At 41.9% G+C, this 12,049-nt stretch overlaps 1 long non-coding RNA gene across 2 annotated transcripts in view, besides 2 other annotated features; it reads right to left on the reverse strand.

The window, feature by feature from the left end:
- LOC105371986 (uncharacterized) overlaps nucleotides 1–11,787 on the reverse strand; it is a 34,569-nt gene extending 22,782 nt beyond the window's left edge. The window contains exons 1-3 of one of the 2 annotated variants that reach the window (XR_935139.3): nucleotides 10,620–11,787; nucleotides 9,739–9,847; nucleotides 4,232–5,042 (exon numbers count right to left, since the gene is read on the reverse strand). This is a non-coding gene — a long non-coding RNA (uncharacterized LOC105371986). Of the gene's footprint in view, nucleotides 1–4,231; nucleotides 5,043–9,738; nucleotides 9,848–10,619 lie in introns of those variants that run through there. The other variant, XR_001753347.1, reaches the window with a different exon arrangement.
- Nucleotides 6,946–7,446: an enhancer, noted in NCBI's record as "H3K4me1 hESC enhancer chr18:10368550-10369050 (GRCh37/hg19 assembly coordinates)". NCBI's record gives its function as "activates a minimal SCP1, AML or CMV promoter by ChIP-STARR-seq in primed H9 embryonic stem cells {active_cell/tissue: H9 hESC(primed)}" and the evidence as "EXISTENCE:reporter gene assay evidence [ECO:0000049][PMID:30033119]".
- Nucleotides 7,447–7,947: an enhancer, noted in NCBI's record as "H3K4me1 hESC enhancer chr18:10369051-10369551 (GRCh37/hg19 assembly coordinates)". NCBI's record gives its function as "activates a minimal SCP1, AML or CMV promoter by ChIP-STARR-seq in primed H9 embryonic stem cells {active_cell/tissue: H9 hESC(primed)}" and the evidence as "EXISTENCE:reporter gene assay evidence [ECO:0000049][PMID:30033119]".
- Nucleotides 11,788–12,049: the final 262 nt, after the last annotated feature.

The raw sequence follows: 12,049 nt of genomic DNA on the forward strand, positions 1-12,049 counted from the left end.
AATCTTCTTAAATATTTTTCTAATTCTAACATTTAATCTTATCTAGTTTCTAACATTATGTTTCAATTAACATATTGACATATTTGAGAGTAATACAATTTTTTTACATATTGCAAAATGTTCCTTAAATTTTTGTGTCCGACTTTTACAAATAAATACTAATTTGTGATGATCTTTGGAACCACAACTTAGAAAACCAAGAGAAGTAAAACAAAACCACAGAAAAATCATGTTCAATTCTACTATTACATAACAATATTGTGTTATGCCAGAATCTATTGCCTTTGGCCAGGCACAGTCACTCATGCCTGTAGTCCCAACACTTTGGGAGGTCAAGGAGGGCAGATTGCTTGAGGCCAGGAGTTTGAAACCAGCCTGGCCAACATGGTGGAACCCCACCTCTACTAAAAATACAGAAAAAATATTAGCCAGGCGTATTGGCACACACCTCTAACCCCAGCTACTTGGGAGGCTGAGACATAAGAATCGCTTGAACCCGGGAGGCAGAAATTGGAATGAGCTAAGATCACACCACCGTACTCCAGCCTGGGTGCCAGAGTGAGACCTTGTCTCAAAAAAAAAAAAAAAAAAAAAAAAAATCTACTGCCTTTGTGCTCTCTGAGACGAAGGATTTGACAAGGCAATTAATTTTTATTTTATCTTAGTTAAGTTCTCCCATTGCTAACATTATCCAAGCACAACAACACAATGTCATTTTCTAAAGTCAGCAGCAGCATGAGCCACACACCTTCACGGCATTTTGAAATACTTGCCTTTTATGCCAGGGCATAGGGTAAGAGATATGGACAAGTATTTCCCTGGGGCCTGAAAAGTGTTAGCTGTGGGAGTAAATGTTTGGCTCAGTAATTTTAAAATTTAGAACAAAATCTCCTAGAGAAAAATAACAAAACCAAAAGTTGAATCTTTAAAAAGCTACTGAGTGAGATTGCTGGCAAAAGTAATCAAGTAGAAGAGAGAAGATGCAAAGAAACCAAATTCAGAACGACTATGGGAAAATAATCTTAGATACAATAAACTTTAAAAAAAATTATGAAAGGATATTATAGATGGCTGATATGGTTTGGATTTGTGTCCCTGCCCAAATCTTACGTCAAATTGTAATTTCCAGTGTTGGAGGAGGGCCTGGTGGGAGGTGATTGGATCATGGGCACAGACATCCCTTGCTGTTCTCATGGTAGTGAGTAAGATCTCGTGAGATCTGGTTGTTTAAAAATATGTAGCACCTTCCCCCTTGTTCTCTTCCTCCTTCTCCTGCCATGTAAGAATTTCCTGCTTCCCCTTTGCCTTCTGCCATGATTGTAAGTTTCCTGAGGCCTCCCCAGCCAGGCTTTCTGTACAGCCTGCAGGACTGTGAGTCAATTAAACCTCTTTTTAAAATAAATTACCCAGTCTCTGGTAGTTCTTTACAGCAATGCGAGAACAAACTGATATAATGGCTATGCCCCAATAAATCTGAAAACCTAGATGAAATGAATATATTTCTAGAAAAATGAAAGAGAGAAAAAAAAACTTCAAGTGGGTAAAAACTTTCAAGTTCATTAAATTACTTGAAATGGTGATCAAAACTCTGTCCAATCTTAAACAGATTAAAATTCAACAAGTGCCGAATTTTGGCTTTATAACATCTTTTAATAGATGGGGACTATTAATTCCTTGAGTGTTTGATTGACACTGAAGGAATTAATAGTCCCTATCTATTAAGGTCCCAATTAAATTAAATAGTCCCCATTAAATTAAAATTAAAATTATTAAAAGATGTTGCCCTAAAAGATAGAAAATTAATTTTAAAAATTAGTATTACAATAAACATAAAAAGACTAAATTCTGTTGAAAACCTGATATCTCCAGATTGTATAAAAACAACAAAACCCAACTAAATGCTAAAAATTAGAAACTTAAAGCAAAATTTAGTATTATTTCTTCTATTTTGTTACTTTTTCTTATGTTTGTTCATATGATCCAGTTTCGTTTTTCTGCCCCCTTTCTCTATGGTTAATGGCTATTTTCCCTTTTCTGGTGTTCATGAGCTTTATAATCTTTTCACATTCCCACTCACCTCTCTCAACTCCTCACTCATTCCCACATGAGAAATTTGGTTGTTGTATTAGTCTGTTCTCAAACTGCTATAAAAATACTACGTGAGACTGGATAATTTATAAACAAAAGAGGTTTAATTGACTAACAGTTCCGCATGGCTGGGGAGGCTTCAGGAAACTTACAATCATGGCAGAAGGTAAAGGGGAAGCAAGGCACATCTTACATAGCAGCAGGAGAGAGAGAGAGACTGAATGAAGAAGTGTCATACTTTAATGCCATCAGCTCTCATGAGAATTCACTCACTATCATGAGAACAGCATGGGGGGAGCCACCCCATGATACAGTCACCGCCCACCAGGCCTCTCCCTCGACACGTGGAAATTACAATTTGAGATGAGATTTGGGTAGGGACACAGATCCAAACCATATCAGTCATCTTTGTTTACTTCCTTTCTTTCCTCTTTATTCTCCCTAACATCAAGATTTCTCTCTCTGTCTCTCTCTCTCTCTCTCTCTCTCTCTCTCTCTCTCTCTCTCTCTCTATATATATATATATATATATATATATATATATATTCCAGTCAATTTTGCTGTGAGATATATATATATATTCTAGTCAAAATCTCTCTTCAAGTTTTCCTCTATTTTAAATAACAAAGAAGGATTTAAAATAAAGGGATATGCAAAGAGATAGCAGACAAATGTAAACACATAGACAGTGGAACTTCAATATTCCTTTTAAGTTCTTGAAAGTTTATAAGAGCAGTTTAAAGTCTCTGCTTACTCATTTCATATCTAGGTCATCCCGGAGCTGGTATTTATTGACTTTTTTCTTGAGTATAGGTCACAATTTTTTGTTTTCTTTGTATTTCTATGAAGTTTTTAATTGTATACTGAATATTGTAAATATATGTAGAGACTCTGGGTTTAATTATGTTCCCCTGAAACATGTCAAGTCTTGTAGCAGGTTGTCAAATGGTCTCTCCTGTGATATCCAGCAGCTGAAATCTCTCAATTATTTCAGCCTCCAGCTGCTTTACTTGCCTGGCCTTTTAAAGTCTCACATGCATATGCATGGTCCAATGGTTAAGAGAGTTTATTATCTGGGAAGAGTTTACATGCAGACTGATGGACTCACTCCCTCCTGAAGTTTCCTTTCTTTTGGGATTTTCCTTCTAATTGTCTAGTTACCTTGTCAGACTTGAACTGTGGCTCCTGGCTCCTTAAACTTATAAGACTTTCTGTACCTGCAGTGCAAATTAGAAAGTGCCACCAGGCAAAATGCATGAACCCTTAAATCTCACTGTGGTAGACAAAGTTCTAAGATGGTCCTTAAGATTCCTGCCACCAGCACACATGTGCTGACTAATCTCTTTCCTTTGAGTGTGGTGAGACTTTTGATTATGACAGCACTTCACTTGTGCAATTAGGTTGATTATGTGGGAACAGTGAGGGAATTTTGCAAATGTAATTAAGGGTCCTAATCAGTTGACATTGAGTTAGTCAAAGGGGAGATTATCTTGGGTGGGTGTGATCTAATCACATGAACAGAAGTCAGAGAGATTAGAAGCAGCAGGAACACTCCCACTGTCCTTGAAGAAGCAGCCTCCACATATGAGGAGTGCCATCTGCCAGGGCTTCATGAGCAGCCTATAAGACTTGACGGCTTTAGTTCTACAGCTGCAAGCATGTGAATTCTGCCAATAGCCAGGGAGCTGGAAGGAGACCCAAGCCTCAGATGAAATGGCAGCCCTGACTGTCACTTTGATTTCAATCTGGTGTGACCCTGAAGAGAGGACCCAGCTAACACATATCCAGACTCCTGATTTACAGATACTATGCAATAATAAATTCATAGTTTTTCAGCCATTACATTTGCAATACTTTGTTAGGCTGCAATAGGAAACTAAGACATTTACTCAGTTTAATTCTCATCTTTCAAAGGTCAACTTTCCTATAGTTTCTGTTTGCTTTTGGTAGCTCGTCAGTGGCTTTTAACTGCAATTTTGGGGGTAGCATTTTGTGCAGATTTTGTAAATACTACTTTCCTTCTACTCCCTTAAACCATCCCGGCAAGGACACAAATCTAAATGCCCCTGCCTATGAAATGGCAGTGGCTCGTTTGGTGAACTACTTAGGAAATTTGGTTTCCAAATAACTTCTTGGGAATAAAAAAATTAAATGCAATTTTTATTTGTGATTCTCTATTGTTTCATGGGAGAAGAATCATAGTTTTCCAATGGTTTAGCCAGATAAAAGAACAAATGAGATTATTACACATAAATCCATCTTAAAGGGTTTTATAGTCACACGTATAAACCCCGTATGATGAGACCACTGAAGTGAATGCTAAACAAGAGGAAGATTTGCAAAGAATGTCAGTGTTTGGCCTCATGTTATTGTTTGTGTACAGTAATAACACTCATGGACATCTGCCGGGAAGCTTCTCTCCCGAGCTCTTCCAATCGTGCAGAAGTTAATGAATTTTCAAAGAGAAAATGACTTCCATTTCTGCATGTGGATCAGTTTGTTTATAGCTATGCTTGCAAAAAAAGAATCTGGAATTATTTATTGGTAATTTGCACATTACTAAATAACAGATGGTCTGCAAAAAATATGTATTTTGCAACTTTAAAAAAAAAGATTGGATTTCAAATGCCTAATGTGGAGGAAGTCTCATGTTTTATAAAAAGTCCTTCAAGGGACACCAAACTAGCCAGGCCAAGGGAATACTTCAAAGATTGAAAAGATCTTTTAAAACCCAAGAGATCCTTTCTCAGTGACTGGGGGCAGTTTCCATTGTTATGAATTGCTTTTTGTGAGATTGCTTGCGTGAGTCTCCTGGTGACATGTAAGAACAATAAAATATTAGTGAGATCCTCAGGGCTGGGGTCATCACCGTGTTTCTTCAAAAAATCTTGAATAATAATAATGATAAGAAGAAAATTTCATTTTAATTCTGTGGATATGCTGCACCTGATGCCCTAAAACAAAAAAGGAAAGAGAAGACAAGAGATGTCACATCCTGTTAGTTTTTACCAAACAGCTGCTTGAGCTCTCCTGGTGGAGAGCTGCCTCCAAGGACTCCTCCGTGGAGATATGTTTGATGGGACACCTCCATCTACGTTTTAGTGACAGTAGTGCTCATTCAGTAAGCCCTGATGCTCTGATGTCTGCTGGCAACATTTGCCTGCTCCCTTAGGAAGAAGCTCAGTGCTCTGATTTCGGGCCTGTGACCCTTTGTGTAAGTGCGTGTGAGCCCAGGGCTCAGAGAGCAGGTAATGAGGTTGAGGACACCAACTAGGGGAGGTGCCATTGCACTCGTGAGACAAGAGACGTGCTGCCCAGTGGAGAAGCCCCTTGCTTTCTGCAGCCAGGAGCTCATCCTTCTGAAAGCTTTGTGGGTGGGTAGCGCTATCTTCTTCCTCCTCCACCCCTCTCCCAAGGGGAGAAGGAAAGCCAATTGTCTAAAGGCTGTTGGACTGATGGGTGAGCAGGTGGAGGAGCGGAAGAGGGTGAGGGCCTCTAGAAGATTTGGGAAGGGCTGAGACCATTTTCTGTCCTCAGGATAACACAGTAGGGTGAGTTGTGCCTTTGAACTAGGACTTCTTTATGGGCTTAGCCCCTCACTCATAGGCGAGGTTGTTATTTTTTCAGCAGAAAGACAGAGAATACTGATTTAAGAGCCTGAAATTATTGGCAGCTGGTAAGAAGCCCACTGGGGCTCCTTTTGAGCATTTCAGATACCAAAAAGAAGAGAACTCAAGGTGGTTAGAAATGTCCTTCCAGGACTGCCTAGGACTTCCCCTTTCTAGAAGGAATTTGTATGAAAGTTAGTCCTGTTGAAACTATGTGAAATTTGAGGCCCAATCTGTCCTTTTAACCTCATGTGCCCCCAGAAGATTCCAGTTCCTGAATAATAATTTGCCAGTTTATAGGTGCATTCTAAGTGTCTGAATTTTCTGTACAGTTTCATTGTATTTACATCATTTAATCTTTAATTTTTTTTTCCCAGAGCACATTTATAAAATTATTACCAAATGGAAAAGAATTAAAAAGCATCAGAATATCAATGGGGTGGGGGATGCTGGAAGCTTCAGTGTTCATATGGCCAGAGATACTTCCATGAGGAATGAAAAGGAAAAGAGAACCATAAGGAATGAAAAGGAAAAGAGAAAAGCAAGGAAAAAGGGAAGAAAGAGAGGGGAAAAAGGAAAGGGAAGGAAGGAAGGAAGGAGGGAAAGAAGGGAGGGAGGGAGGAAGAGAGGGAGAGTCCCTGGGAGCAGTTCTCTGGTGTGTTTCTTAGACCGGAAGGATGCATTGCTCAGGCTGGAGTCAACGTGTGAGCTGGGTGAGATGGGCTAACTTTATTCCTGTTTTACAGAGGAGGCAGCCACATGACTTGTCCAAGGTCAGCAATTTCCTTAGCTATACTGCTGAATTACAGCCCAGATCTAGACCCTGAGCGGTTGTTTCCACTCAGAAAAAATGATTTGAGAAGGTCAGTAAAAGTCCATGAAGCCATCTCACAAGGGGCTCACCAAGGAGAGGACATCTCAGAGGTGGCTCTGAGAGCCTTTGTGTCTGCATGGGAAGACTTCCAACTTTTCTGAGCTACTGCATATCAGCTTGGGGCTAGGGTTTCAGGACCATAGAAACTGAAGTGACACCTGAGTCCACTTCCAGTGAGGGGCCAGTTTTGCCATGACCAAGCCTGTGGTTTTAAGATAGTGGGTGTCCAGAGGAGAAAGGGAGTGGGAAACAGGCAGTGAGAGTGAGGGCCAGGGGAGGGACATAAGGAGGGAGGGAGAGAGAGAGGGAGGGTGAGAGAAATGGAGAGGAAACCAGGAGAGAGAGAGGGAGAGAGAGAGGAGAGGGAGAGAGAGAGGAGAGGGAGAGGGAGGAAGGGAGAGGGAGGGAGAAGGGAGGGAGAGCAGAGAGAGGGAGGAAGGGAGAGAGAGAAGGAGAGAGAGAGGGAGGAAGGGAGAGGGAGAGAGGGAGGGAGAAAGGGAGACAGAGAAGGATAGAGGGAGGTAGAGAGAGGGGGAGAAGAAAGGAGAGATGGAGAGAGGAAGAAGGAGAGGGAGACTGAGGAAGAGGGAGAGGAAGAGCGGGAAAGGGAGAGACGGAGGAGAGAGAAAGAAAGAGCTAGCAGGGAGGAGGAAGAGAAAAAGCGGGAGGGAAAGAGGGGGAGAGGGAGACCCCTGCCTCATCACTGCATGTCTCCCCAGTGTCTCAGTTTCTCAGCTCTTCCCCCTTGTTCTCTGCACACATCCCCCTCCTCCAGCTGTGTCTAGGCTGGGCCTTGGTCGCCTTTGCTCAGCAATGTCCCTAGGCAGCCTCTGCAGAGTCTGCCCTCCCTGGCTGGCTGGGCACGCTCCACCTGCCCCATGCATTGCCTGGACCGCCACTGCTGGCCTGGAGCGGTCTCCCTCAGCATCCCCCAGTGGCTGGTGGTGCCCATTGGGGTGGGTCCTCTTCCCACATCCCTTACATCGCCCAGCTCCCAAGTGGGACTGGGACAGACTTATCCATACTCAGGATGTCCCCAGCTATTACAGTCACAGGCTGAGCAGGAGCTCTGCAGGAAGGGGGTTAAAGAGAGGCTGGTTTACTCTGCCTCTCATTATCAACTCTGGTAAACACAGAAAGCTTGGCTTGGCATAGGAGGAATTTAAACTATTAGCTCAAATGGAGGTTTGGGGATTATCTCTGGATTTCCTTTATTTGTTCTCTTTCCTCCTTTACCACAGCTAATCCAAATTTGATGGGAAGTAAGGCATAAGCTATTCCAGAAACCTCACAGAATCCTTTGTGATGTCGGCTCCCAGCCTGCTCAGGGATAATTTTTGTCACCTCTCGCCTTCATGTCCCAAGCCTGTGTCCCTCCAGCTTAGTGCATTGTGTGATTGTCTTTCCTGAAGCCTCTGCCAAATGGTTTTTGAACCAAAGCTGCTCTTGCAGGTCCAGGGCTTCGGTGAGCTCATTCCAGGCCTCAGAGGACCATCACATAAAAGTGGCCTGGCTTCCAGGTCTGACACCCCTTTCGATCCGAGTGAGCACTGGGGAGACTGCTGGCTCATGCCACAAACCTCCACTCCTAACCCACAGAGGAGTCTGTTAGCACCCACACCCCACATGATCCCCAGAGAGGGAAAAAGATTCTGTGCCCATAGCTCTTGAGACCCCAGAGGCTGGGATGGGAGCTGAACCCTGTGGGAAGGGAGGGTGCAGACTGCCCCCTCCAACAGCCCTGGGAGCCCCTAAAGTTTGCATCCTGCCGTAAAGTCCTTACAACTCCAGTCAAAAACACAACTGCCTCAGAAAATGTTTGCATTAATACTGAAGAGAAAACCCACTTTCAGTTTTTTCTCAAACTTTTAAAATCTCAAAGCTTCCAACTTTTCTGAGCATGATTCTAACAAGCTTTACTCAGTTTACATCAAAGTGGGTGGTAAAGTCCAGAGAGCGCTGTGTGAGTTGCTATTATTTATCATGTTCACTTTTGTTTTTAAATTACTGAAAGTCACTGACTTTGAGTCTAAAAAACTCTAAATATTCATTTAGAAATATTGCTCAGTTTAAATTTCTTAATATCTAAAGTCACCTAATATACTATTTAAAAATATGATTAATGCCAAAGTTAGTCTTTATGATTAAAATATTTAACATTTCTTAACATTTTTCTAGAGATCAAATCATTTCAATTGTTCCATATGTGCTGAAAAATGTGAAATAAAGCCCAGGTTTAATATATGTCCATGAGGCCAAACTTCTGCACTGTGTTTTTCAAAATTTTAAATTGTCAATACATTTTATCTGCTTTATCTAACAATAAAAATAAATAAGTAAATAGGAAGTCAAAAGGCAAGTTTTAATTTAAAAAAAGGCATTCTATTAGAAAATTCAAAAGTTTGACTTATGCCATTCAAGGATAAAAATGATTAGAGGTACGTGAAAGGGGACCGAAAAAAAAAAGAATAAAAATGATATCCCTGTACAAATCACATGATGTATTTGAGGGCTGATCTAATAGAATTAGTCAGGAGAAGACAGAGATAAAAAGAAACTGTGTCTCTTCTAACAAATGAAAGTAGACTAATGGATAAAATAAGGCAGATGATCAGTTGAACCTTGGAGTTCTCTGGTTCAGTCTTTGGGGAGTGAAGTCATCTGTGCCTGAGGCGTGTGCCCATCCCATGTTGGGAAAGCTCTAGAGGCCAGAGACCAAGCTCTGAACAACCTTTCTGGCTTTTAGACTCTGGGCTCTCGAATTCCAAGAGTGACAGTGACACGACTGATTTTTGAAACCAACGTTTCCAGAGCTACAGTAAAAGCAGTTTAAGAAATGTCGCGAGATTTTAATCTGGTTACACATTTGTCGTCAGTTATGACTTAAGGACCCATTTGTGGATTTCAGATCCTGGCAGCCTGTGGGCATGTGTCTGCAAATGCACGTGAGCTGAGCATAGAGGCACACTCCCAGGGCAGGTCACAGGCAAATAATTGTTCTTTAAACTAGCTTCGAATAGATAGCTTTTCTTTCTTTTTGGAACAATGTAAGGTGAAGTTATTTGAGAAGTGGTTTAGGCTTCCGTAAAGATTATAGTAACCAATGAAGAATTCACAATAGGAATATCTATCAGAACACACTACTTAACTCCAGCTGCTAAGACCCACCTATCTGCAGTGCTTGAAATGTTAATGAACAGCCCTTAATTGACCGCTGTGCCTGGAGTTCCACACCTAGCTCATTCCATTTATTCTGCAGAGGCCATTTTGAGCTGTGCTTTAAAGACAGAAAAAGTATAGATTTTAATTTTTTACCTATTTAAATGCCTCATCATGGCATGTAAACATTTAGGGGACTTGTACATTGCACATGTCACACTCATCACTGATAGCAATTGAGCAGGAGCTGCCTCCCCTGCCCCAGCAGGGTCCCGAGCCCTTGACACAAGGCCCCAAGGAAGGACTCAGCACACCAGCTGTAATTTGTAGAAACAAATGAAATCACTCCTTATTATTTCCTACCTCCCCACCCCAAATACCAGGCCGTGTCAGGCATCGCCACTTAATCCAGCAGGAGAGACTGTGGGATTGCTGGCTGCAGGGCCCTAGCAGTGGCCCAAACAGTTAAAGAGGAGATGGAGTTCACTGCTCTTCTTCTGAACAGAAAGTCAGGGCTTCAAGATTTCAACAAACATTAGCATTACTCATTTAGAGCTGAGCCTAATTCCTAAACGTGATCGGCACTAGCTTGACATGCGTCACACCAATTTTAACCACACTTCAATTTGGAGGGAAGTAAAAAACAAATAACATCTTAATAATATTGAACTGAAACATAACTTGGCTAGAAAACGAAGATGTTACTAGAGATTTTATACATATATACATATTTCTATGAAACAGAGATATGTAGAATTTCAATGTTAAACTTCTTTAAAAGATGAGCCTTACGAATGGCCACCGCCCATCCAGCCTCACAGAATCTTTGTGAATAACACTTGGAGGCAATTAATTCTCAACTGGAAGTACTGTCATCAAGTTTTAATTACCTTCTGGATAGCAAATCTCAGCAGACACTTTTCGGTCCTTTTTAACACCTTCTGCAATATTTGACACTCCTAGACACCTCCAATTTGACATTCCAGCCTCCCTTGACTTTGGTGGAACGTTGCTTTTCTGGGCTCACAGATCCCAGCCCACTTTGCGGTCTTCTGTTCCTGGGTCCATGTCATAAAATGTTGGGATTCATTATGACTTCATCTGTGGCCTTATTTTCTCACAGCATCCAATCTTTCTGTGTGATTTGGTTCAACCCCCTGGCTTCTGCTGCCACCTGAGAGCTAATAACTCTCTTCTGGGCATGACAGACCCTCCCCTAACGCTCACTGGGTCCCCTTCTTGGGTGTCTCCAAAACACTTCGAGTCAAGCATGTCAAAACGGAACACGTCCTCCTGCTCCATAAACTGGCTTTCCATGCATTTTCCCTCTTATGGATAACCTCACCGCCTTCCCCCATTTACCTAATGCAGAAGCCTCAGAGGTTTCTCTCTTCTTTCCCCTCAACATCTAACCAAGCTGCAGGTCCCATCAATTGCTTTTCCCTAAGTAGCCATCAAATCTACTCTTCCATCTCCAGCCGACTTCTCTTGGTTTAAACTGTCATCTCTCCTGTGCTGGGTTATTTAAGTAGCTTCCTAACAGATCTTTCTGATGTTTTCATTCCCGTAAACCCATCATTTACACACTGCCTCAGTAATCCTTCCAAGTGCAAACAAGTCCATATTAATCCAACCCATCACGGCCTTCAATAACCGCTCCATGACATTTAAGACATTTTCTGAGGGAAAGTTCTGTCATTATCTGGCCTCGTCCCAGCCGTCCAATCTTGATACCTTGATAAGCATGTTGAAAATGCCCCATCAGGTCCGCTCAGCAGGGCAAAGCCGTTTTGTGGAAGCCGGAATGTTTATTTTTGATATGGCAGTGCTGGGTTGCAGAGGGTGTGTAGCACAGGTAGACTACGCAGGTTGACTGTGGGGCTTCCAGAGCCTGGAGAGGAAAGAAGACTCTAAAGAAAAGATAAATGTCCTTTTCATTACTGCTTCATTTCTTGAGATAAAATCATTAAAATCATACATGTGTAATGACTAACCGAATACTCTTGGTAGACAAGGAGCAAACATGCATGTCCTCTTAAACATCACGTGTTCATTGCATATCAGACTTCTTCTTTTTTTTTTTTTTTTTTTAGATAGTGTCTCGTTCTGCCACCCAGGCTGGAGTGCAGTGGCGCAATCTCGGCTCACTGCAACCTCTGCCTCCTGGTTTCAAGCAATTCTCCTGCCTCAGTCTCCCTAGTAGCTGGGATTACAGGTGCCTGCCATCACAACCCGCTAATTTTTGTATTTTTAGTAGAGAGAGGGTTTCGCCGTGTTGCCCAGGCTAGATTCAAACTCCTGACCTCAGGTGATCCACCCA

This window comes from Homo sapiens, chromosome 18 (assembly GCF_000001405.40).
Source record: "Homo sapiens chromosome 18, GRCh38.p14 Primary Assembly".
NCBI classification, from domain to species: domain Eukaryota; kingdom Metazoa; phylum Chordata; class Mammalia; order Primates; family Hominidae; genus Homo; species Homo sapiens.